Source organism: Homo sapiens, chromosome 2 (genome assembly GCF_000001405.40).
Source record: "Homo sapiens chromosome 2, GRCh38.p14 Primary Assembly".
In the NCBI taxonomy this organism is placed as follows: domain Eukaryota; kingdom Metazoa; phylum Chordata; class Mammalia; order Primates; family Hominidae; genus Homo; species Homo sapiens.
In genome coordinates, this window is record NC_000002.12 from 191,273,048 (window position 1) to 191,300,551 (window position 27,504).

Consider the following 27,504-nt stretch of genomic DNA (forward strand, 5'->3'; position numbering starts at 1 on the left):
AAGTGCAGTTTGATCCAGAGGTTTGGGATGTCATCCAGGCTCCAGTACTAATAATTCTAGGTAATTTTCTTTTTCTCTTTTTTTCTTTTGAGACAGGGTCTCACTCTGTTGCCCAAGCTGGAGTGCAGTGGTGCAATCTCAGCTCACTGCAACCTCCACTTCCTGGGTTCAAGCAATTCTCCTGCCTCAACCTCCTCCTGAGTAGCTGGGATTACAGGGGTGTGCCACTACCGCCTGGCTAATTTTTGTATTTTTAGTAGAGACAGGGTTTCACCATGTTGGCCAGGCTGATCTCAAACTCCTGACCTCAAATGATCCACTTGCCTCGGCCTCCCAAAGTGTTGGGATTACAGGCGTGAGCCACCGCGCCTGGCCAATTCTAGGTAATTTTCTTGCCCTGTCCTCCTCCATGTGTCGTCTTCCTCTTCCTACCAACCCTCCTCATGAAAGTAGAGATGGCTGCAGTAGTTCCAAGTGTCACGTCTGCAAGTCACGCCATCCAGAGACAGAGAACCTTTGTCCTGGTATTTGAAGCCACAGTCTCAAGCTCAGTCACGTGTCCAGCCTTGAATCAGTTACACTGGCTAGAAGATGAGAATATGTTGATTGACTTAGCCTAGATCACATGTTCATTTTTGGTACCCAGAACAGCATGGATTCCTTGTGAGGGCTCTTGGAAGGGAGGAGGTAGATCTATAACAGTATGTGTCCAACAAAAAGTATCCCCAGTGCTCTACATACATTCTCATTTAATTCTCCCTAGAGCCCCATGCGAATTCTTCTAATGGTTTATGGAAATGTGGAGTTAGCAAGTGATTCTGAAACTTGTGCCCATGGTAAGCACATAGCTCCTTCAGAGAAAAAAACAAATGGATCCTTTTGGTGGAGCAAATACATGAACTAATTTCATTGACATGTCAAAGTGAACCAAACCAAGGCTAGAGATGGTGGTCACAATACCAGAAACCACCATAAGAAGATATGGAAATACCCCCACACCGTTTCCTTAGTGTCCTATTTTTACCTTGAGAATGAGGTAGGCTGTCACTGGATCTTCTCCCAGTGTCCCTAAATGCTAAAAAGATAAACAAAACAAAGCAAAACTGTTTGCATGATTCAATGACTCTTGGTGTCACCTTTTCACTGTGGCTTGCTTTATTGTATTTTGGTTTGCAAAATACAATATTCAGAGGTCTTCACTGTTTACCAGTTACCTGTAACTCAGCATTTCTTTTGCACTCTATTCCTCTTTGGATTAGAAAGTTGGGATGAGGTGTAAAAAATTAGATATAAATTCCACATTGGAAAAGATGGTGAAGCGGGTAATTACAGAGAAAGATTGGCTGCTTAATTATTGTTACCTGCAGGGAAGCTGTGTTGTCTTTCTGCAGCTGTTCCTATAAATAGACTATATACAGGAATCCACCCCAGGGCAGAGTTCCTCTTTGCTTAATTTAAATTGCTGGTTTGAGGTAGTTATTTTTGAAACCCTTCTCAGGTTGACTTCCCCCTTAATCCCTAAGCCTTCTTCCCTCATCTGCCAAATTATATGTAATGCATGGCAGCTAGAGTGCTTTTGGCATTACATGGAGCCTGAGAACTTGAACTTTGATTCAAATGTTAATTTATTGTGGACAAATTTATTGTGACAAATGGTCCTCTCCCTGTGCAAGTCCTTCTGTGGACTCTGGCTCTGGCTTCACCGTCTCTGTGGCTCCTGCTGCATTTCCATAGCATGGCACGTGCCTCCCACCCTCATCAGTTTTGTTCTGAAACAGAGCCCAGCCAACTTCAAAATATACAGAGCAGTTCTTTGGGCCGACGTTGTTGAGTTTTAGTGGTATCTGGGACTTTTCTTTCTTTCTTTTCTTTTTTTTTGAGACAGAGTCTCACTCTGTTGCCCAGGCTGGATTACAGTGGCGCAATCTCGGCTCACTGCAAGCTCTGCCTCCCAGGTTCAAGCAGTTCGCTGCCTCAGCCTCCTGAGTAGCTGGGATTACAGGCACTGCCACCATGCCCGGCTAATTTTTGTATTTTTAGTAGAGATGGGGTTTCACCATCTTGGCCAGGCTGGTCTTGAACTCCTGACCTCATGATCCACCTGCCTCAGCCTCCCAAAGTGCTGGGATTACAGGCATGAGCCACCGCACCTGGCCTATCTGGGACTTTTTGTTCCAGGTGTATTTGGCTTAAAATTATAAAAAACATACAGTAACAAAAAAGTTACTCTATTGTTTTTCTTTTTAGTGTTAAATACTTCCTTATTTTATTTATGGGAGAACCTCTCATAAATTCATCTTAGTCTCTCTTTTTTGGCTTTTCATAGCCAAAAACTTGTTTTAATAGGATCAGTAAAAAAGGATATGTTTGTGGGTTCATATAAATTGCTAGTAATTAATAATAATGAATTTCTTAATTACTAGCCCTTCCTAGTTCTCTTTAAACCAGACCAACTAAATGTAGTTTCTGCTGCTTCTACAAGACCTACTGGATGTTCTAGACTAGAAGTGGGGGACATTTGTTTAAGTTGCTGAGATTTCAGTAAGGACACCAACCTTTATAAGACATAGTGTGCCGAAGTGACTCCTTAATAGGAAGAATCAAATGTCCTTTCCACTCATTATCAGTGGCAGGTATATATGTAAGTATTTATTAGTATTCTGAAGTGTGATTGAGTATCAGCACACTGAAGTTATATAAAACTGGCTTCTACATTAGAAACATTTAGAGAGAATGGCCCAGATGAATTTAGTTTTACCATTTTACCATTTAGTTCTGGTAATATTAGGAAAAATAATACAGACACATGTGTGCATACACACATATCCCACACACTCCTATGCTCAGAAATTTGAAAGATTTTTAGTACTCTTGACAGTGATCAGATTGGAAGCCTTGGGGATTACCATTCTGCTGTTGGGTGGCACCATGCACATTAGTAGCAGGGTAGAATGCTGCCTTTGTAGCGTGCCTCTGTTTCCACTTGGTAGATTTTCACATTGAACCAAAGGGAAACTGTAGTATTTCTGGTCTGTTTACTGCGTGTTAATTTGATTCTGCTGTTATAGTGGCATGTCTGTTGGTACAAGAATTAAAAACGTAGAGGCCACTTTTATCAGGTTATGTTATACTGGTAGCCTGTGATTTACAAGTGGGTTGTGTTCTTTTCTTTATATGTCAGTATTGATTGTCTGGAATGAAATTTCCTCCCATAGATGCCATGTTAGACGTGGTAATTGAGTTCTTTCACATCAAATGCAAAACATTTTTAAGTAACCATAGCAAGTTTCATAATCTCTGAGCTTCAATTTTCTTATCTTAAAGTGGGAATGACAATACCTACCTCATAGAGTTATTGTGAGGGTTCAATTAATGTAAAGTTCTTGGTATAGTGTCTGATATGTGGCAAGTAAACAACAAATGTTAGCAGCATCATTTTTTATCATCTTCGAGGAAGCAGGTTCATATAGTCTGACATTGGTACACAAGGGCTGAGGGAAAGTAGGGGTGGGTTAGGTTTTTTTTCCTCCCCCTGGAGTTTTGCGACTCTCTGCTGAGGAGAAGACCATGGCTTTCTAGTGGCTTTTTCTGTAGGTGGACTTCACCAGGGAGGATGGACTGGGAAGGAGGTTCATTTGTGGCAGCAGGTTGGCAAATGGGGCAGCTGCAGCCAAGTCAGAGGCTCCTGATGTGGTTCATAGGGAGGAGAGGTTATGACATTTTTTAAGGCTAGTGAGAGTCATTTGGAGCTACCAGTGTTGGATTTCTGCAGTAGTGCCAAGAACCTATTTGAAATTATTTTGCTCGTTTAAATTGACCCCTTTCCCTCTCTTCTGCAGCTGGAGACCATGGCCAAAATGGAGGTGAAAACCTCACTTCTGGACAATATGATTGGAGTTGGGGATATGGTTCTTTTAGAACCTCTCAATGAGGAGACCTTCATCAACAACCTCAAGAAGCGCTTTGACCACAGTGAAATATACGTAAGTACACACGAAGGTCATCTGTAATGTTTAGACTTTGTATTTTGTGCCAGAGAGCTGTCTTTTCTTCCTCAGACTCTTCTTTCTTTTTTCTCTCTGTTTGAGTCCAGCAGTATTTGCTTTATACCCTCAGAAAGAGTTGAGTTTTTACTGATTTAGCCCATGAGTAATGTGGGTTAGACAAGTCAGTCTGCTTTCTGTGATCAACTGTGTGCAAGTATTGTAGTGGGTGTTGGGGGCATTCTAAAGCAAGCAGAATACTGCCCTCTGAGGAATTTAGAAGGAATTTTGAAATCCATAGGCATCTTCTTGGATACCTTCATAAGATTAACAAAGTCTAATCAGGGAGAAGCTACTCATTGAAATGCAAGGCAGTAAACTGTCAAAAAAGACATGAACTTTCTCGACATTTGTAGTTAGTAGGGACAGGAGCAGATTATCAGATAAAAATATGTAATTGGTCCCTGAAGATTTGGCTATAGTCATGTCCTACTGTACAAAAGTCTAATGCCATATACATAAACAGAAGCATAAATATGTATATGCTATAATAGGAGAAAATTTCCTGTTGTAAAAAGTCTTTATAAAGGATTTCACAGGGTCAAGTTCTCTAAATATTTTAAAAACATGAATAAAAAATACATTTATATGCAGCTTTTCTGGAGTTTGCATAAAGCATCTGCAGAAGTAAAGGTGTACTGTTAACTAAACCAAAGAAATGAGGCATTGATTCCCTGTACCTGCAGCTGAGAAGGAAACAGAATGTTTTGGATGGGAGTAGTTTTAGTGGACTCTGCCTCACTTCCTGAGTTCTCTTTCCTCCTTTTTAAAATGTGCATCTGTGCATGGAGAAGAACTGGATTATTGGGCATGCTTAATATTTTTCTGTTTATCATTCTAGGGAGGAAGTATAAATAAATAAAAGAGATAATACAGTGATACAAGTAGGATCAGTTATAACTTTTGTGGAACTAATATATTTTGTAAAATTATATGCAAATTATGAGCTATATTATTTTATATCATAGATAGCTCTCTTTTCTAGATAGCCAACTCTCTTTATCTGTTGGAGCTGCGATACCAAAATACCATAAACTAGGTGGCTTATAAACAACAGAAATTTGTTTCTCAACAGTTCTAGAGTCTGGGAAGTCCACGGTGAAGGGGCTGGCATATTCAGTGTCTGATGAGGACCTGCTTTCTGGCTCACAGATGGCGCCTTCTAACTGTGTCCTCACATGGTGGAAGAGGAATACTCCTTCATAAGGGCACTAATCCCATTCATGAGAGCTCTGTCCTTATGACCTAGTCACCTCTCAAAGCCCCACCTCCTAGAACCATCACATTGGTGACTAGCTTTCAATATATAAACTTTAGGGAGATAGAAACATTGAGACCACAGCACCAAACATGTTTCAAGGATGATTTTGAGTAATGTATTTATGAGATAGTAGTCATCCTCTAGGAATTGACCTTTTCATTCTTCTCACTTTGTATTGGTGGAGGTGGGGGAAGGTTGATGGTAACAAGAGGCCTGTGAATACTGCTTTTGGAGTCTTAATTGGATAACTGGATACTAAACTGAAATGTGTTTACAGTTCAGAGATGCGATTATTTAAAGTGCTGATCCAAATGGAAAAGGTATAAAACACTGCTGCAGAGCAGGGGGTGGCATTGTTTGGCTTGGCAGTACTGCCTGGTGTCACCTTCCCTCCAAGCGTAGCAGTTCTGCTTTCAGGTGGGAAAGCTGAGGGTTCTGCAGCTTTAATTGAAAGTATGCTCTGATATCAAATAAAAGACAGACTTTAAACATTGGTCTTTGAGATGGAGATAGGCAGAATCAATTATATTGTAACTAACGTTACCGATCATTTTTCTTTTTGGCTCTGAGAAGCACAATTCACTTTTAAATGAATTGAAAATAAGATGGAGAGTAGAACATTACGTGCATTCAAATACCTGATTTGTTGTGGCCACTAAAAATAAAACAATCACCTTTTTAACAAAATGCCAAGTGTTAACATTCATGAGTCTTTAGCAGACGAAATGTCTGGATTTCAGCTCTATGTAATTTTATTTTCTAAACGTCCTTTGTGTTTATAAAACAAAAGCAGAAAATTGATTTCAGCTTCCAGATATTCATATCAATTAATGTTTTTCATGATAATTCAGGGCTACTGTTTCCATGAGATGTGTGCCTTTGTTTTGTAACTTCAAACACCTCATGTTGGAGGGCTGGGCATTCTCTATTATAAGTGAAACAAGAGATTGTAAAGTAATGCGTATAGTATGATCCTTTTGTAAAAGATGTGTATGGGGGTTTACGAATATGTACATATGTTTGTATATATTTGTATGTACAGAGAGACAGGTATGTTACCTTCAGGTACCATAGTGGGGTGGGTTGGGATAGGGCATGGGGACAGGGAAGGTTACTCTTTTAGACCTCTGTATTGTAGGACTTAAGTCAATCATATATTGCTTTTGTAATTAAAAAAAAGCTGCATGATAAATTTGATTACCACACTCTCCAGCCCCACATGCCATGTATTCTTCCCTGGTGAAATCTATTTCTGGCTCTTATCCTGATAATACTCCTGCTTTGCCTTTGTTCATGGGTTGCTGCAAAGTTGTCTAGCTTGATGCCCAAGGCTAAGTTAATATGACATGGAACATTTTACTGTCTTCTGCTTCACTCTGTTTTTCAATTCTTTCCAAGAAAATGAAGATGCAGTTAAAAAAAAACATCTTTTAAGGTCTTATAGCTTCATTTTATATTATAAAAATGGGTGACTCTCTAGGGATGATCCATCATGTGAGCATATTGAACAGTAATTTGTATGTTTAGAGCTATGTCTGATAAGGGGGCCAGTGAACAGGAAGACCCTTGCCCCAGACTTTTGAACTCTGGATCTGGATACACCCATAGCCTCAGCAATCTCCTATGTGAACCAGCTCTAAATCGGGGGGTTCAGTTCTAACATCCTGCCATCCATCTCCTCTTCTCCTCCCTCCCCCAACATATTTAGAAATGAAAAATAGTCTGTATCTTCCCAGAGCTCTCGTGAGGGATTGCTTTGCCCCTGGGTATGAGTTACGACTCTCTAGAACATTCACAACCCCTAGTGATCCTCTGGATCTGTAGCAGCTGACGCTGGAAGCAGACTCCCTTGTCATCCTGTCGTACTAAACCTGAAGCTCTGGATAGAGCAAGGCATTCTGGAGTTAGTTGGAAATGTCAGGTAGTGTTAGAATGTGCTTTTTGCAAGTAGCCGTCACACCCACATTTATTCACCTGAAAATCCAGAAGTCATTCTGCTTTCACAATTGGTTTGATTTAGTGGCTCAGTGGTATCACTAAGGACTTTGTGACTTACTGTCTGCTTTGCCTTCCTTGGCTGTTTCTTTGTTCTGAGGCTTCATAGTAGCAAACCAGCTGCAGCATTCCAGGCTTTGCATTCCCGCATCGCGCTGGCTAGAAGAAGAGGCAGTGCTGCTTCTCTTCTGGCATTCCAAGTCAGAGTCCTGAGATTTACCTTGGTTAGGCTGCCGGAGTCACACTCCCTTCTCAAACCATTGACTGTGGCCCGGAGATGGCATGACCTGAGCGACTTAAGAAAGTGATGTTTAAGATTGGAGTTGAACCAGATTTTTCCAAAGTAGATAGGCTGTATGTGAGGGGGTGGGTTCCCAACCAAATATATCTATTCACACACTAAGAAGAGAAAAGGGGCAGTGGATGCCGAGGAGCCCACTCACTGTGAACTCCTCACCGGTTTGGTAGGGAGTTCTGTAATGAAGTGGCTTTTTTGATGTTGATGTCATGTTAAAGGATGTGTCCATGGGAAGAATTGGTCACTTGAGTTCTAGGCTTCAAGTGCGCCCAATGGCTTGCTTCTCAGACTTTTCTGCTGGTGAACTTCTAATGGCAGAGAAGAGTAAACAGCTTCCCCCAGGAACTCTGGAGCATGGTCGAAGTCCTGCTTCAGGGAAATTTTGCCGAAATGTTTACTTTCAAATGTAATTCAAAGCTTTATACTGTTCTCTAGTGCAGATGGGTTGTTTTGAACTAATATACCCCTTGTAACCCTTTGAGTAAGTTGCATGCTCCAGAAATATCTGTTCTTCACTTTGAGGTGGGTTGACACACTTGTTTAAATAGCACTGGATTGGTTCATAGCCATCTGTGGCCTGGTTGAGTCTCTAAATCTGGGACAGTGGCAGATATTGACGTGGTCTTCGCAGTTAGGGCTTGGGCTATTCAGTTGGAGATGGAGGAGGATCAGGTGAGATGAGATGGGGGAAATGCTGAAGTGATGCTGCAACACACAGGGTCAGAGACTCTATTTGCTTTTTATTCCTCCATCTTGGCGGAGTGTGGTTCAAGCTGGGCCCAGCTGCAGGACATGCTGTTTGGTCTGACAGGCTCCGTGGGGTCAATGGCTGGGAAATGCTGGTCGTGACGTTCCCGAGCACTGCTTTTCTGTTTGCTTTCTGTCCTTTGTCAGACCTTCTTCCGGCCTCCCCTCCCCGGCCCCCAGGCCAGATGGATGGTAGCAGGATTTCATGTGGACTTTTATTGTGATGTAGGAGATGGCAGAGCTGAGATCCGGCCAGACATGTTCTGTTTTTAGGGTGACTGGTCAGGACTGTGGTTCTATTCAGGAACAGGAAAGCTACAATTTAGGCAAGAACAAGGCCCAGTACAAATTTGGAAACCAGAGAACCAAGGTGTCTGTTCTCTGACGAGAAGTATATTTGGTGCTGACCAGTAAATTTAGTTTGTTTTCTATCTGAATTGTAAGATTGGGGATCATCTAGATATAGGGGCCTGAGTTAGTCTAATTTTTAGATCTTATGTTAAACTAATTGTAGTTGTAGGAGTGACTACTTTAAAAGTATAGGAAAAGTTGTCTTAAGTTATAGAAGTTAATACTAGAATTAGGATTCCCAGGATGAGATTAGATACTTTTATGAAAGATACTCAAGATATAGTACCATATATTTGATTTAAAATATTGTAAAGTTAATGAAAACAATACTGATTAACACATTTATTTGAAGTTTCAAAACCACTTTTCATTTATACACATGAAAATCCCACCTCATGGGTATAATCTCTGTTCCTGGGAATTTGGCGTAGATGGAGTAGTAGTTTTCTCTTGCTACAAAATAAAGTGCACAGACTTAGCAACTTAGAATAACATACGTATATTATCTTGCTATTCCTGGGGTCAGGAGTTGGGGCCTGGCTTAGCTGAGTCCTCTATTCAGGATTTTCCCAGCTGTAGTCAAGGTTTCAGCAGGGCTGCAATCTTATCTGAGGCTTGAACCTTTTGCAGGCTCATGGTGGTGGTGGTGGAGAGCAGGGCTGGAGTTCAGACAACCACCTGAGTGTTATTCCTGTTACTCAGCCCTGTTCTCCAAGTTTTATTCTTTATAAAATTTTCCTTTAAAGGTTTTTTAAATTACAAAATAACAAATGCTTTTGGGAAAAAAAAATTTCAAATAGTACAGCCAGACATATCATAAAAATGTAGTTTTCTCCCTTCAGTACCACAGGCCCATTCCCAGCGTGAACAGTAATTAATAGAATGATGTGTAATCTTCAAGATTATGTTGGGTGAAAAAACTAATTTTCTTGTTCTAGAGTTGGAAGTAGGAGGAGGTTCTCTTTTATCTAGACGGGCAGACCTTTACCCAGGTAATCCAGACCCAACAGAGTTTGCATGGAACAAGAGCAATCTTTAATGCCACCTCCAATCCCACTTAGATGAAGTAGGGAAGGAAGGAGGAGGGATCCCAGCCCTGTTAACATGAAATGCCTAGACTTGGTTGTATGTGAGTGGTTTACCATCAGTAGTGCTCAGCTTACTCTGATCGCTGCAAAGGTAGACCATTAAGGTAAACATTGAGAACAAATTGTGTGTGCCTTCCAGAGTGTAGCTTTGGTGTTTGAAACGGAGACACAGCTTTAGAAGCCTAGATAAAGCTGTTGAAAAACAGCAAATCATGAGGGTGAAGGGAAATGTCATGTCTAATTTCTGAGCACCATCTATCTCTTGGACAGTCATTTTTGCTAATAACTTGCCAGCTTCAACCCATGCAAACTTTCCTACAGCCTTTGGTGATTGGAAAATTTCTTCCTCTTAGAATTTTCAAAGTTGACACATATTTGTTGCTTACCAAACTTAGAGAGTTTTTTCATCATGGAGGCACTGTATAGGGCTTGAAATATTTGTATAATACTTACAGTGCATTAACTTAAATATTCTGGTTGAAGCTAAACCTAAGGTTTGATTTGAAGAAATTAAGGCCTGACATCAGATCTTTTGGAAGCAGTATGGTAGCACTAAGAAGCAAAAACTTGACGTCTAGTCCTGGCCCTGCCACTTAGTGAGACCTGGGACAAGTTAACTCCTTGGAGACTGTTTTCTTATTGGTTGGTAAAATGATAAATGATAACAAAGGACATTTTTGATTTCCTTATTGGTACCAGCTGCTGTTCTAAGCACTTTACATGTATTATTCATTTAATTTTCACTAGAGTCCTATGTACTATAGGTTTTTAAATTATCTTCATTTTACATATGAAGAAACCGAGGCTCATAAAGGCTAAGTAACTGTCCACGATCACACAGCAAGTAGGTGATGGAGCTGAAACTCACACCCAGGAAGTTCAGCTGCAGAGTCCATGCTCTTAATGATAGTCCTGCTGACTTTCCATGGTTGCTGTGAGCATCAAAGGATACTACTGATACAAAAGCCCTTTCAATTCTCAAAATAATTGGGTATGATATTGAAGAATGTGTAGGTTTGGAATGAGGCAATCTGAAAATGACCTGGACAAATAATCAAAATGATAATCAGTATTCCTGCCATGTGTTGAGCTGCTCAGCAGTGCAGTGACATGAACCAGCGTGACATAGAGCAAGGACATTCATTTCTAAAGTCATAGGTGATCATTACATGGTGCTCTCAATTCAAAGGAAAAGTGATAGCAGCCATGACAATGATTTTTTCCCCACTGTGGAAGGTGGGAGAAGATACTGGGAGGAAAGTATATTTCATCATGTTCACAGGATGACAGGTAACTGACAGCTGCACATGGCTCTTCACCTTTATGAGCACGAGAGAGGAGGAAGAGGAAGCAGTTCGGCACAGGGGACACGTGGCCAGTTAATTCTGTGGCCAGTTCAACTGTCCCCTCTACACATGCATCTGTGTCTGTTGTATATCCATAGTGCAGAAAAATTTTAATAATCCTAATTTCTAAAGAGAGGCTATTTTGTTGTTCAAATTCTGCTTTGGAAGGAGTGGAGGGTGAAATGACATGGCATACTGGGAAAGGTGTGAGCTTTTGGCTGACAGACCTGTTTGAACCTTGGTGACTTACAGTCACTGTGACCACTGTAAGGAATAGAGGTTCTCTCACCCATAAAATGGTCATCGTGGTACTTATCTTGTTGAGTTGTGGTGGGGATTAAGGGACATCTTAGTCCAGTGCCTATCACATGATGAAAGTGGAGTGCATGGTAGGTGCCCCGACTGTCTGAAAAACTTGGAAATCCAGAATCACTTTTTTTTTGAGGTTTCAGACATTGATGTTTTCTTTTTTTCGAGACAGAGTCTAGCTCTGTCCCCCAGGCTGGAGTACAGTGGCACCATCTTGGTTCATTACAACCTCTGCCTCCTGGGTTCAAACGGTTCTTCTGCCTCAGCCTCCTGAGTAGCTTGGATTACAGGCACATGCTGCCACACCTGGCTAATTTTTTGTACTTTTAGTACAAACAGCGTTTCACCATTTTGGCCAGGCTGGTCTTGAACTCCTGGCCTCAAGTGATCCACCAGCCTCGGCCTCCGAAAGTGCTGGGATTATAGGTGTAAGCCACCAAGCCTAGCCAAGACCCTGGTATTTTCATTAGTTAGATTCTTTCTCTTCTCCCCTTCCCTGCCTACTTCTTTCCCTCTTTCTGTATTCCTTTCATAGCAGTTCCTGTGTTTCATAGCAGATTCATTTTTGTTACATTACTACTTTCAATTAACCACAGAAATATTATTTTAAAGACATATTGTAAATATTATCCCTTTAATACAGGACCACAGGACCATGCTGTTAAGAGAGTTTTATTAAGTCTGGAGAATGGTATATATTTGGAAAATACTTGTCTCGTGACACAGTTTGTCTCAACGAAGATATGGCAGTATTGTATTATCCTGCTCTAAAATAAAGACGCCTGAGGTGATATTTTTAGCCAGTATTTCAGCGTGGCGTTGAACTCATATATAGTTCTTTAATTCATAGTCTGAAATGACTGGCTGCAGCCCAGGAACAAGAGTATAATATGATGGTAGTGTAGGCACGTCTTGGACTAGGCAGCAGAGACTGTGCCTGACAAACTTGCGGCCACCGTCGGCAGCCACGGTTTGCGGGACGTCCTGGCCTCTGAATGAGCTCCTGACCCAAGGCCAGTGATTTAAGGCACAACTTAGATAAAAAGATGAGCAAGGCTAGATTCTTTCCTCAAACTTTGAATTGAGAAATACTGAAAAAATAAAATATCAATGGGATCAAGATGCTGAGGGTGATGAAGTCGAGAGGAGTACATGATAGGCCACAGGCAAACAGAACCTATGAATAAGAGGCTTTGAAGTGGACAGCCGATGGAGTAGAAAGTGAGGGAACCAGCTTGCAGCAGGCATGAAAGAAACAAGGGGAGAAGCAGAGACATGGGCAGGGGCGAGGCTCATTGATACCAGAACTGGAGAGGAAATCTTCACAAACTTGGGTTGTGTTGGTTCATGAGCCGTCCTGGACCCATAGTCACCCTCAGGTCCCAGATTTGTTATAGCCTGGGATAGTTGTCAGGGGTTCCTAGGTGAGTTCATTAATACAGGAAATGGACCTGGATGCCAAGCAGCTGAAAGAGCCTGACCAAGTCACTGTTCTCCGTCCTATTGTCATAGTCTTTGATGCAGAGCTTTGGGATGAAACTCTGCTTCTGCCACTGATTTAGAAACCTTGGGCAAGTTATTTAAAACCTTCTAATGTTTCCAGTTCTATTCCCCTGTAAAATTAGGCTATTAGCATCAATTTTATATGTCTATTGCATATGCATCACAAATATGTTTCTGAGACTGGCGACATGAGATGCATACACTGAATTACATTTTTAAAAAATATAAGGCCCAGATAGACACCTAAGTCTGTTATTCACCTTATACTTGTAATTTTTACTTAGGCATTTTGCACAGTTTTGAACTATGTCTAAAAAACAACCAAAGTGTTTGGTAGACCATACTGTGTCTTTAAAAAAAAAAAAAAGACCGAGGCCCTCTGCAAGGAAATTTGGGAAATCTTACAGATGTCTAATTAAAAACACCGTGGCATATGACATCTTAATATCTTGTGATCAAATTCCCAGGGTCTCAGACCCAGGAAGGAAGTAGATTCCTCATATTGGAGTGAATAGCATGTTGTCATTTTTGAGGATTCCCACTGGTCTGTCTTGTATAGTCATTTTCTTAGTATCCTAGACTTTTAATATTAGTTTTATTAAGACATACCTTATGTGCTTATCTGAAAATTCATCAATTTCCTGTATACAAAGACCATTTTGGGTTGGGTGCCGTGGCTAATGCCTATAATCCCAGCACTTTGGGAGTCTGAGGCGGGCCGATTGCTTTAGTCGAGGAGTTCGAGACCAGCCTGGGCAACATGATGAAACCCCGTCTCTACCAAAAATACAAAACTTAGCCAGGATTGGTGGCATGTACCTGTAGTCCCAGGTATTCAGGAGGCTGAGGTGGGAGGATGGCTTGAACCTGGGATCGGGGCTGCAGTGAGCCAGGATCGCACCACTGCACTCCAACCTGGGTGACAGAGCTAGACCCTGTCTCAAAACACAAAACAAAACAAAACAGACCATTTTGTAAAAGTTTTTAAGACGCTGGTGTGGTAGGACTCATTAATGAATTTAGCCATGGTATTAACATATTTTATGTAGACTTTCAAGTCCTGATTTGGCTCTTTACAGTAGCCAATAGATTCCAGTAGAGCCCAGCTAAATTTATATAATTATAATAGGTAATATTTATGGAATGCTTGCTGTGGGTCAGGTGCTGTGTTTGATGTTTTGACACACAACCTCATTTAATCCTCAGAATTAGATGAGGGAGGAGCTAGTATGCTTCTTGTAAAGATGAGGAAACTCAGGCCAGGCGCGGTGGCTCACGCCTGCAATCCCAGCAAGTTGAGAGGCCGAGGTAGGCGGATCACCCGAGGTCAGGAATTCAAGACTAGCCTGGCCAACATGGTGAATCCACCTCTCTACTAAAAATACAAAAAAATTAGCTTGGCGTGGTGGCGGGCACCTGTAATCCCAGCTACTCGGGAGGCTGAGGCAGGAGAATTGCTTGAACCAGGGAGGTGGAGGTTGCAGTGAGCCAAGATCGCGCCATTGTACTCCAGCCTGGGCAACAAGAGTGAAACTCCGTCTCAAAAAAAAAAAAGGTGAGGAAACTGGGATGTGGAAAAGTTAAATAATGTGCCCACGTTCACACAAAACTAGAGAATTTTGCCAGCTAATTTGGAGCCAAGACTTACACAATATTTCAAATACATTGAAGAATTATTATTATGAAATGACATAGGTAGAATCTGAGTAAAGAGCTTAAATACTATACTTAGGTCAGAATGATGTGGGTTCAAATCCCATCAGTTTCATCATCTAAGCCCCTCATCCCCCACTGACTTTTCACTTCAAAACTGCTTTTGGACTCAAGCTCAGACTGCTTACGTGAAGTTCAAAGGCTCTCTACAGTTTGATCTCAGTCTTTTTTTTTTTTTTTTCCTGGCTTTAGCAAGAATTTTTTATTCCAGTCGTAACTACTCAGGGGATGTCTTTGTTTTAGGGAAGCTGTTCCATTCTCTGTCTTTGGTATGTGCTTGGGTAGGCCTTTGTGCCTCTGTCTGTGTTTTAATCTGTATTCTAGCATGTGTCAGAATTCCCTTCCTTTTTAAGGCTGAACAGTGTTCCATTGTACGTATCTACATTTTATTTATCTATTCATCTGTCGCTGGACACTTGGGTGACTTCCTCCTCTTGGGTATAGTGAATAATGCTGCTATAAACATGGGTGTGCAGATATCTGTTTGAGTCCCTGGCAAATTGTACTTAAAAAAATATATTTTGAAGAAGATAGCTTAGCTTAAAAAAAAAAAAAAGAAGAAAGAAAGGTGGTGGCTGGGCGGCATTCAGCTATCACCTGAAACCTAACGTCTTATGTCACTCTTTGGGGGGAACTTTGTCCAAATCATGCCCATCTTTTTAGACCGCTCAAGCTGTCTGTCTTCTCTGGAGCTTTCTCGGACCTCTGCAGTTCATAGTGACCTTTCTTTATATAACCCTGGAGCACTCATTAGACAGTAAAATAATCAGACTAATGGCTCATTTAGCCAGGAATCACATCCTGTTTCATCTGTTTTAATGTCTAGAGAAGTTAACTCTTAAATTTTATGTTTCTCTATCTAAAAGACTCACTTCCTAAGCTATATTATAAACTTCCCAGGCACACAGACACTGGGAGCTTTGTATTTTTCCTACCATGCCCAGCATGATGTTTTGCATAAAGTTAGCCCTTAATAAATTTGTTGCTTGCATGTAAAATGGTTTGTAGCCTAAAATCACTCTATCAGTCAGTGCGATTGTGCAGCCTTGTGATGGGTTATTCTTACCTGAATCCTGGCCCATCCTGGATTTGAACTATAGATTGGTGCAAAAGCAATTGTGATTTTTGCGTTGGAAGTAATGGCAAAAACTGCAATTACTTTTGCACCAGCCCAATACTTTAGAGGCAAAAGTAACATGACTTGGAGACCCTTGGAGATGCAGACGACTCCTATACCTTCTCTGATATTTCTTTGATGTTATTTTAGACTAATTCGTATTAAGATATTTAAATAAATATTGCCTTTTACATCACCACATTCCTGATTTATTTCTCTGAAGTTAAAGAATGATTACGATTGAATCTTTTCTGGTGAGAGCAAACATTTTCCCTATAACTAGAAGATCTTTTCCTTTTCTGTTTTGTTTATTCCTGGCGGTAGAAGGATTTCTCAGGTGGTAAAATGGGAGGCTTTTGCCTAACAGAGTAGCGCTTTATTACACAAAGGTTGAAGATGCTTTATATGGCATTGTGCAACACAAGTTTCCTCCGTTCTTCTTGCGTGCTTTTTACCAAAGCTTCCCAGGCCTAACAGACGGCATGGATTGTATGCTCTAATGAAAAGAGAACAGATTCTTGTCTCCTTGTCTTGATTTCACTTCTGCTAGCTAATGTGGTCGTATCACTTAACTTCTTTGTGCTCCTTTGTTATGGACATTAAGATAGAGAATTTGTATCTATCTCTTGGGGATTTGGGAGTAGTTTAGTAGAAAGGTGTGTATGTGTATATTCTATGCCAGCTGTTCAATAGGTTGAGGATGAGTTTTTAAGGAACTCCAGAGACATGTAAACAAATAACTGAAATTCATCCTGAAGAAAATAAGGAAGCAGGTAGGTAGACAGATTGGATGCCTAGTTAGAGCCCAGCAAACAGAGGCTTTAAAAATAGATTTTGAGAGAATTCGATATTTCAAAAAAAGCATCAAAGTACATGATGGCAAAAATAGGTCATTATGGGATTTTCTTACATGTATTTTATGGTGTAGTTATACATTTTAATATCATATGAGAAACTGAAATGTAAACCTTCAGGATTTAGGGCTTCTAAAGATCTCTATCTTACCCTGGGAAGAATTATGATATAAAAGATATTAAAACTATTCTGACTTTTTAGAAGAAGTTTTATATACAGACTTGGAAATATTCTGACTGTTCTGTGTATGTGTGCTAATGTTTCATTTATCTGCCTTTGCGAAGGAATGTTACACATTATTGAGACTTACATAATATTAAAGCTGTGCTAAAATATTTAACTTTTTGGTTAGATATCATTCTAAAATGTATTGCATATATCCTTGTCATCAAAAACAGAATACACTGATTTTGGCTGTTGATTATTACCCTACGTTCCCAATTAGTGCCATAATAAAGCAGTCAGGGCCGGCTAAGCCATGGGGCTCTTGGGTCTTACTATAAATATTTTTATACTTTGATAATTATCTTCATCACTTCTTACTTATTTTCTTTCTTTCTTTGTCCCTCCCTACTCTTCCTTTTCTATTAGTGGCCATTGTTTCTCTGCTTGCAGAGGGAGTCTTAACCTGGTATATCACATGTATGCAGACTTCAATGTGCATGTGTGTTTTTCCAAGGAGAAGAGTCATTGCTTCCGCTGGTGTCTCAAAGGGATCAACAATTGAAGAAAGGTTAAGGAGTGCTGTGTAGCACAATTTTTTAAACTGCAAGTTTCATATCATTAATTGCTCATGAAAATCATTTAGTGGGTTAGGGCCAACAGTTTTTAAACATTTTGTAAAAAATATTAGAATCGAACAAAAAATATCAATGTATCACATATAGTAAAGGGTACTTTTGGTTTTGTGAAGTTTTTATCTTGTATATGTGTGTGCACATAAATAGACATACATACACATACCTGGTTGTGATGAAAATTTTATTTCTTATATATGAGTTGTAATCAAACATTTCAAATTCACAGCTATAGTACGGCCCTTTTTGCCTCTTCCAATATACAGATGTTGCTGCAGTTTTTCTGTAGTCTATTGAGACTATGCCAAGTTTATTAGAAATGTGGCTAAAATGAGAGTGAGGCTAGAAGGACTTTTCTTTTGTTTCAGAACTAGTTCCATAGGAGTATTTAAAGGGGAAGGTGAAATAGAAGATAAGCCAACAGCAGCACTAGCAGGTTGTTGCAATTGAGAGTAAAACCTGGTCCTGTGAGTCTGGAAGGGAAGGGCTACAGACATTGGTTTTCAACCCTGGTTCCACATTAGTTTATGTTGGGTCTCTTTCAAAAAAGTACTGACCCCTGGCCGTTCCCTACATCATTGAAGTAGAATCTCTGAGGATTGGAGTTCTGAAAGAACTTTCTTATAGAATAAAACACGTGGCCTTTAGGTTATATTTTGACTACTCAAAGGCTTTTCGTTTGGCTTCTGAACAGTGGTCTGGGGAGTGGAGGTGGCTAGATTGAATGTCCTCCAGAAAAGACCTCTGTTTTCATGGTAATTATGCTAAGAACACTCAAGTATTATTTGATTATTTACAAGACATCTGTTTTGGAATGCTAGAGATACTTGAAATCTAGGAAGGTCGAGATGGTTTTGACTTAAGAATGTTTGTGCATTCTTGATTCAGTGTCTGCCCTTGAGAAATGAAATATAACCTTGCTATCTGTATGTGCCAATTATAGAAAGGTAGAGCTTGTTTTCTTCTCCCTCTTCCCTTTTTCTTCTCTTTCATTCTTGTTTGCTTCTCTTCCCTCCCACATCTCTTTCCTTTCTTTTCCCTTCCTGGGTGTCAGAGGCTGGCCCACTGAGCAGAGGCATAGAGGGAGCTTTCCATTGTCATATTAGTGGTGGCATGGACCTGAGGGCTTAGGGGAGCTGAGGTTCAGAAACGTGGAGGGGTGAGCCTAGAAATGCCTGGGCTGGTTACTTCATAATGAGTTGGTTTACCATCCTTTTTAGAGCGTGATGCAATAAGAAAATACCAACTGTAAATAGTATGCAGTTGTTTATTTAAAAAATGACATCTGATTCACAAGTCCAAATGTTAATCAATGTAAAAATGAACTGTCTGGTCACTATCATTCTGATCCTTGAAAAGGAGATTTAATCTGGTGCTGTAGTCACCTGAATGTAGAATTGGTAGCTACCTAAAACTAGAGTAGAAATGTTAAACCCCACCCAGCAATCAGCTGCTATCAGGAATGTCTTTCTGTGTCTCAGAGGAAGCAGAGTTGTGACTGTGAACATTTGAGTTATTCTACTGGCCCATGTAGGAATATTTAAACCTTTGGCTAATGCACATAGAACTTTGAGGAAGAAATCCATAAACAGAAAGGGCAGGTATAGGATGAACCTGTTAGGAGTTCAAGGTTAGAAGATAAAGAGGATATCTGAACTGTATAAAGTGGAATGGAGAGAGAAAGCATAGTTTCTTTTAGTGTTTGCTTATTTAGGTGGATAAAACTTGTCCTGCTTGGCACCATTTTTAGTTTCTTGAGTCATGTAGGTATTGATGAAAAGAGTCAAACTCTAAAATATTTAAAGAGATTTATTCTATGCCAAATATGAGTGAGCATAGCCCATAACACAGCCCTCCTTGGGAGATCCTGAGAACATGTGCCCAAGATGATTGGGACATTTTAGGCAGACATGAGACTTCAACCTAGAGAGGTAGAACAGCTCGAAGCAGTGAGGCTTCCAGGTTATAGGTAGATTTAAAATTTTTCTAACTGGCAATTGGTTAAAAGAGTTACCAATAGAAAGGAATGTGTGGATTGCTATAAGAGGTTGTGAAGACCAAAGTTTTATCACACAGATAAAACCTCCAGATACCCGGCTTCAGAGACAATAGATTGTAAATGTTTCTTATCAGACTTAAGGTCTGAGTCGATGTTAATGCTGGAGAGGTATAATGAGGCATGTTCGACCCCCACTTCCCATCATGGCCTGAACCAATCTTTCAGGTTAAATTTTAGAGTACCTTGGCCTAGGAGGAAGTCCATTCTGATGGTTGAGGGGCCTTAGGATTTTATTTTTGGTTTACATAGGTGTATCAGTTACTGTTGCCATGTAACAAACTACCTCTCAGAAATTAAAGGCTTACACCAACAGCCAATTATTTGCTCACGATTCTCTGGGATAGCAAGTTAGCCTGAGTTTAGCATTGTATATTTTCTGCTAGTCTCACCTGGAATCACTCATGTGGCCTTAGGCATCTGGTGTCCTTACTGGGGCTGGATGGTTTAAGATGGCCTCACTCATGTCTAATAGTTAGTGTAGCAGGCTGTAGGTCAGGATACCTTAGCTCTCCACAGGACCTCTCTGACAGGCTAGCTCAAGCTCATTCACATCATGGCTTCCAGCCACAGTCATAAAAAAGGAGACACATCCTAATACACAAATGCTTCTCAGGCTTCTACTTGTGTCTCATTTGCTAACTTCCCTTTGGTTAAATCAAGTCACAGGGAGAAATTCCAATTGAAGGAGTGGAGAAAAAAACTCTATCTTTAAAGTAACAAAGTCACATTTCAAATGGGAAGTGCATGCAGGGATGGAAAGAATTGTTCTGGCTGTTTTTACAGTCTACCAGAGTCAAACGACATTTAGGGATTTGTTAAATGGTAATGTTACCGGAAAGGAGTCCCAATCCAGACCACAAGAGAGGGTTCTTGGATCTCACGCAAGAAAGAATTTGGGGTGAGTTTATATGGTAAAGTGAAAGTAAGTTTATTTAAAAAGTAAAGGAATAAAGAATGGCTACTCCATATGCAGATCCATTTTTATGGTTATTTCTTGATTATATGCTCAATAAGGAGTGGATTATTCATGCCTCCCCTTTTCAGATCATATAGGGTACCTTCCTGATGTTGCCATGGCATTTGTAAACTGTCATGGCACTGGTGGGAGTGTAGCACTGAGGATTACCAGAAGTGTTCTCATCACCATCTTGGTTTTGGTGGATTTGAGTTGGTTTCTTTACTGCAACCTGTTTTATCAGCATCGTCTTTATGACCTGTATCTCATGCTGACCTCCTACCTCATCCTGTGATGTAGAATGCATAATCATCTGGGAATGCAGCTCAGTAGGTCTCAGCCTTATTTTACCCAGCCTCTATTCAAGATGGGGTTGCTCTGGTTCAAACACCTCTAACAGTAACACATGGCATATAGGCTGATTAAAATACTAAGCACTGAGTATAGTATATTTGATCTTATATTTCAATGCAAGAATAATTAGATGTGTTTCAGTGGCTTGTACCCTCCAATTAGTGATGAACATACCCCATGTGATTTGGTCATTTAGTTAACAAATATTTATTGTACATCATGGTGGGCCAGACACTGTTCTAGGTGATAGAGATGCAGCTGGGGGAAAACAAACACACATAATTCAGTATGTGTAACAGTCACAAGGAACAAAGAGAAACTTACAACTTATTACTGTGGCTTTTGATTTTGAATTTGAGGCAACAGAGTTTGTTCCCTGTGCAAGAATGCCACAGAGGCAGATTTTTATCAAGAATTTAGCCACTGTGAAGTTTGGTTTTAAAGAGCAACTCAGTAAGTGGTTTTTCTGCTAACAGCAAATCAATATATTTTAGAAACTATTGTATTCAAGAAAAAGGGAGAAGGATTCAAATAGTACTTTTCTACTTAAAGAAGGTTGATTTTTTTAACCAATAGATGTTAAAGAAATAACCAATGGCTATATTTTCATATTTACCAAGGCTACTAATTCTAATGTATTAGCTGGAAGCTATTCAGACAAGTATTCAGTGTCAGGCGTCTCCCATCTGATGTTTGCTTGTGACATTGTCCTTGGGAGACATCTCCCATCTCCTAGGTGGGTTGCAGTGTGAGGACAACCAGAAAACCTTGAGAAAGTTTTGTCATTGTTTGTGAGGCCAGATTAATTGGGTCCTAGTGATAGAATGTTAGAAATAAATGTGAAAAATTGCATGGGAACTGAGAGTTTTCTTTTACAACAGCAATCTTGTCCACCCTTGACAAGATAATATTTGTCCACCTTTGACAAGATAGTATTCTTACAGGATGAAAGTGTGTTTATATATATATATAACCTGTTCAGTTTTCCTAGTTGGGAGAAAGTCCTTCATAATTAATATCATTGTGACCCCTGTAAAAAGAAAAAAAAAAGTCAGCAGAACATTTCTACGTTCCTTCATTTTCTATTCTGTTTAATTTTCTAGAAATATCTGACAGTCTTTTTGAATCCCAGTGGTGGTAATACTGGAAAAACTTGTTGCTCTAAAAATGGTACCTTTTGTGGGATGACATTGGAAAGGTGGGAAGTTGGAGATCTTTTTTTCCCCTTGTTTCTTTCTTTCCTTTATGAACCTTTTTCTTTTTAAAAGTTATATCGCTCATCACTTTATCACTTAGTTTATCACTTTACCACTTTTGTTGGCACCTTTTTTCCCCCTCCTGTCTTTTATGATGTTGAAACTGAAGGGGAAAATGGAGCTGCCAAGATAAGTTACAGTTAAGTGACGTTTGCTTGTGGCATTGTCCTTGGCATTGCACAGAAGGAACTAAACCAGCACCACTGGTGCTGCCAGGAATTTAGGGTCGAAGTAGACAGGAAGAGAAATTGTGTTCTGGTTTAAAGTTCAGTGAGAAAAGTTTAGTACATGCTAAAATATAGCACTGATCCCTCAGAAAGTGCATTTAAATTTTACATTAAATGTAAATTTGACATTAAATTTAAATGTTGACATTAAATGTACTTTCTGGAAAGTACCTTTAAATTTGACACTAAAACTCTGATATTATGTTAGATATAATGAGATTATGTGGTTTGAATGTCCAAGAGATACCTGTAGCTCTGATACTGAATTGAACGTGATCTGAGCCCATTGTGGAAAGATTGACAGACTTGCAGAGGGCCAGTGCCAAAGGGAAGGCCCTATGAGGTGTGGGTAGGGAAGAGGGGAACACTGGGATACTGTTGACTAAAAAGGTGGAAAAAGATGAGAGAAGAAGGGGAACTATAGCTCTATCTAGAATCAGGGAGAGCATGGCTCTTGCTTACAGTTAGCAGTAGTTTGTGACAAAATTTGTGGAAAATATGACAGGGCTTTGGAGAACTCTTACCGAGAACCGTAAATTAGTTCAGAGATATACTTTGAAAGGATTTTAAATATATAAATGTATGCTTTCCATTTATCAACAAACTAAATAGACATTGTTGACCATCTGTCTTCAGAGATGCAAAGCATTCTTAAAATGTATACAATGAATGGTGAAGCAGAACTAGTGTTGATTTTAAAAGGTTGAAACCATACAACACTAAAGCTTAAGACGTTAAAATACATTTTGTGTACTAACTAATGGGCATGTTTTGTTCTTTCTTTTGCAGACATACATTGGAAGTGTGGTTATATCTGTTAACCCATACCGGTCTTTACCCATTTATTCACCAGAGAAAGTGGAAGAATACAGGAACAGAAATTTTTATGAACTGAGCCCTCACATGTAAGTACTGTACTAAAGCATTAAGTTTCTCTTTTACTCCAGAGATGTGTAGTTGACAGATGTGTGCAGCTGTCTCCTTTGAATTTCAGAATAATGTTTTTGTCAGTTTTTTTTAAAAAGTTTGATAAAAGTATGAAGACTTTAATTGTTATTATTTTAAATTAAAAAAAGGCAGAATACTTCATTTGACGTCAGACTTTTCTGAAATATTTGGATTCAGGATGTAAAATATTTTCTGTTCAAAATTCTTTGCAAGTAGCAGCTGCTGCTAATTATTTTTGCAAATAAAACAGGAATGTGCATTGTTTATTATTATAAAGAGCCTAAGCAGCTTTTTCATAGTGTTGTTGGGCCAAGAAAAATCCTGAGTGTTGGGTTGTGTGATGGTGTTTGGGTAAAAGGACCAAACAATACCTTCAGTTTGTAATTTTTGCAGACAATGTTCACCAGATGCGTGGGATAGGCCAGTGATTTCACTTACTCTGGAAAGTCACTTGTTTGATTTTTCTGAAGAAGGTCACTTGTTAGTGTAAATAATTCCTTCACAGTACCTGTAGATTCTGTTTGTCTGCTCCTTTAGAGTTCTTCGTTGACGTGCTTAAGAGATGCCGAAATGATTTGGCCACTTTATACCACTACAATTTTGTTTTCTAGTCTGAATGACTGAAACATAACACTGGAAAAGTTTGCCTGGATTTGGTAGATCCGTGGTAGAACCGGGTTATTCAACCCTAGAACTTTTATTCCTCCAAATAAAAATATCTGAAAAAGAAAGTTGGAGAGAGAATACCCAGAAATTATCACAAACAATACCTTAAACTTTTTATTTCTCAAAAAACTTTTTTATTTATTCTTATGTTACATTTACTGATTCAAGACAAATATGTTCACCATTTACATTCTCATGTCCACTACTGAGTTTAAAGGAAAGAGAAATATGCTAAGTTGGGCCAAGTCATGTAATGAGTTGAGAGCCTCAGACTTCTCCGCTTGTTGCTTAGGCAGAAACATTTCCTGCCTCCTCTCCTGTGGGCATGCAAGCATTTTTACCAGAATTCACGTACTTATGATTGTCAGTTGCTGCAAGGGGCCCACGGTGTCTTGCAGACGGGAGTTGGTTGATGCAGCATAACATCTTTTATGCAATAAACTGTTGAATGCAGATTTAGAATATTTGTGAACTGCTGCTGAACGTGGGCTGGGAATAACGTATGCAAAAGTGCCTTGGAAGGTGTCAAGCATTCTACAAAGTTATGTTGTTCGTTATTACCACCATTGCTATTACTTTTTCGCAGTAGCATCATCCTCTCTCTCTCAAAACAGATGATATGCTGAAAACAACCCCAAATTGTCATGAAATGCACATAAATACATGTGCATGTAGATATTGATGAGGAAATGTTCAGTAAATGTCTTGGTTGCGGAAAAGATTTATTGGTCATTGGCATATTGGTAGCGGGGCATTTGAAAATGGTTAAGCTGGCAATTTGGGTCACTTTAGAGTTGAGACATTTTCAGTCTTTTTACCGAAAGCAGTAGTACTCAAAATGGGGCAGTTTAAAACCCCAGGGGACAGTTGACAATGTCTGGAGACATTTTTGATTGTGAAACTGGGGGTAGGAGGGTGCTTGCTGCCAGTGGGTCAGGGATGCTGCTAAGCACCCTTCAAAGCATATGCAGCCCTTCACAGTAAAGCGTTGTCTGTTAGCCGTGTCCATAGTGCCAAGGTTGAGAAACCCTGAAATGAAGTGAAAGAACCTGCAGAAAGTCTCATTATGTCCTAGCAGAAAGGATTTTCTCTGTATGATTAAAGATTGGCTTTATTAATTTTGACAGAACATAAAATCTAATAATTAAGGAACATATATATACCACTGTCCAGATGCTTGTTTTAGTTTCTCTTGATAATGCAGCATGCAGCGATATATTTGGGCTGTTTGGAACTAAAGATTATTTATTATTTAAATGTATGAAAATGGTTATTAATGAATAAATCTGCTGGTATATTTTACCAGTCAAGCAAATTCTGATCATTTTGTTTTCTTCTAGAAGTAGATATTGCAAGTGTTCTTGTTTCATTTTGCCTTAAGACAAATAATATCTGAAATTTGTTTTATAAAGTTATCCTGATAGTTAAGCCCCTGTGATGAAATACTTTATTTGATACCTGAATATTTTAAATTCTAGTCCTCAAAGCCCCACTTCTCAAAGTATGGTGCTTGGACCAATTGTATCAGAATTCCCCCAGGGGCTTATGAAAAAATCTGGATTCCTAGGTCTTACTTCTCATAAGCCAGGAATCTACATTTTTCACAAGCTTTCTGGGTGATTCTTAGGCGCATGTAAGTCTGAGAACGTGTTGCTTTAGATCTATATTTAAGATGTTTTTCTTTCCTTTCTTAACTACTTACTGCAATTTGTGATCTTTAACAATAATAATAGTAATAATAAAAGTATTTATGGCTAATATTTTATTAAGTACTTACTATTCTGCTCTAAATACTTTATACGTTTTATAACTCATTTCATTCTGAAAATAATCTTGTGAGATAGGCACTATTACAAATGGGGAAATTGTCACAGAAAGATCAAGTAACTTATCCAAAGCCACACAGCTGGTGGGAGTGGAGCCGGGGTATTAACATTGGTTGCCCCTCTTAGCTGGAAATGGGCTTGCCATTTTCATGACAGGGCCTCTTCCTGTGCACTTCCACCCCACTACCTTTGGTTCGCCTGTGTTCCTACACCACAAACCCTCCAGGATAATCTTGACTGTGCCTCAGTTTACCCCCAGCAATTGTCCACATGCTCTTTTTGCATTTTCAGCTTTAATCTCCATTCTGGGAATGTTTAGATATATAATGTTTGGGTAGATAGAGAATGTTTAGAAGTCTATTCTAGGTCATAGAAGTTCATGCTCCAGAATATACATTTTTATCCTGGTGCCTGGAAGATTCCTGTAGGAGGCAGCATGGCACTGCTACTCTAGTTCACACCCCTCACCCCCAAGGAAAAGAACCACCACGAGCACTAAAATAAAATACATTCTCAATGTGCTTAGGATAAAGAAAATGACTTTTTACCATGGCCTACAAAGCACTACGTGGTGAGCAAAGTACAGTTTTACTAATGCATCTGAAGTTGCCAGATCCCTCTCATTCCCTCCCATCTTGCTTGTTCTGTCAGTCCTCACCCCACCCTCACCACATTCCCTCTCATGGGAGCATCCTTGCATAGAATTCTGTGCCTTCTGCCTGGAATGCTTTTCCCTCTTTCTCCAAAGCAACTCGTGTTCTTCCTTCAGACCTCAAATTGCAGAAGACCTCTTAGGGAGGAACCGTCCTCACTTGTTCCGTACTAAGGCTAGATCCGTTGCTTTTGCCACATTTACTATTTAATGTTTGTTTAAGGGATGATTTGTCTAAGAATTTGATGAGGGTTCAGTAAAAACATAGTGAACAGGACTTGGGTTCAAGTCCCAGGTCTTCCATTTACAAGCTATATAATCTTGAGCAAATTACTTGAAAAACTTCAACTCAGAGAAATTAAGTAATTAGCTTATTCAGTGGGAAAAGAATTATTAATTAACTCCTGGGATTTTTGTGAGGGCCAAATATGTAGTTGATATTTAGATAATGATCTAATACGTATAAGGTGCTTAGCATGGAATCTGCCATAACTCTGTGAGAAAGGAAAGCTATTTCTATTAACAATGAGAATTATAGCAATTGTTGTAATAATAAGGTATGTGGGACACATTTCCAACATTCTCACATGCTCTGTCTCACCACTTTCTGCATGGTGGGTCATTTTCCACTTCCTTTAGTGTATTTTCCTGCATTTTTCTTTGCAGATGTTCATCTTTGATGGTATTTTGAAACAGGGTCAATGCTAACTTGGTTCCCTACTAAAACAGCCTGGCATTCTCAAACAGGATGTTTGTGATGTAAGGGGGTAAGATGACCTTAGCTTTTGATGCATTCTAACTGTAAATATTTCATGAATTTAGTTCCAGTTTGAATAGAAAACAACTTAAGCAGCTGCTCAGACTACATACTTTGAAAACTTTGCCAATTAACTTACCCAATATTACATTTGAAATTTACTTGTCAATTTTTTTTTTTTTTTTTTGAGTCGGAGTCTCGCTCGCTCTGTCGCCCAGGCTGGAGTGCAATGGCGCGATCTCGGCTCACTGCAACCTCCACCTCCCAGGTTCAAGCAATTCTCCTGCCTCAGCCTCCCAAGTAGCTGGGACTACAGGTGCCCGCCACGACGTCTGGCTAATTTTTGTATTTTTAGTAGAGACAGGTTTTCACCATATTGGC

General features: G+C 39.7%; 1 protein-coding gene across 13 annotated transcripts in view, besides 2 other annotated features; it reads left to right on the plus strand.

Annotated features, from left to right (window-relative positions):
* The window catches only part of MYO1B (myosin IB), a 179,983-nt gene that overhangs the window by 27,644 nt on the left and 124,835 nt on the right, over window positions 1-27,504 (plus strand). For all 13 annotated transcript variants that reach the window (XM_047444410.1, XM_047444412.1, XM_024452914.2 and 10 more), the window contains 2 exons: window positions 3,840-3,983; window positions 23,064-23,179. In XM_047444410.1, coding sequence (XP_047300366.1) covers window positions 3,840-3,983; window positions 23,064-23,179 — 260 coding nt within the window. The remainder of the gene's footprint in view (window positions 1-3,839; window positions 3,984-23,063; window positions 23,180-27,504) is intronic.
* Window positions 7,853-8,353: an enhancer, noted in NCBI's record as "H3K27ac hESC enhancer chr2:192145626-192146126 (GRCh37/hg19 assembly coordinates)". NCBI's record gives its function as "activates a minimal SCP1, AML or CMV promoter by ChIP-STARR-seq in primed H9 embryonic stem cells {active_cell/tissue: H9 hESC(primed)}" and the evidence as "EXISTENCE:reporter gene assay evidence [ECO:0000049][PMID:30033119]".
* Window positions 8,354-8,854: an enhancer, noted in NCBI's record as "H3K27ac hESC enhancer chr2:192146127-192146627 (GRCh37/hg19 assembly coordinates)". NCBI's record gives its function as "activates a minimal SCP1, AML or CMV promoter by ChIP-STARR-seq in primed H9 embryonic stem cells {active_cell/tissue: H9 hESC(primed)}" and the evidence as "EXISTENCE:reporter gene assay evidence [ECO:0000049][PMID:30033119]".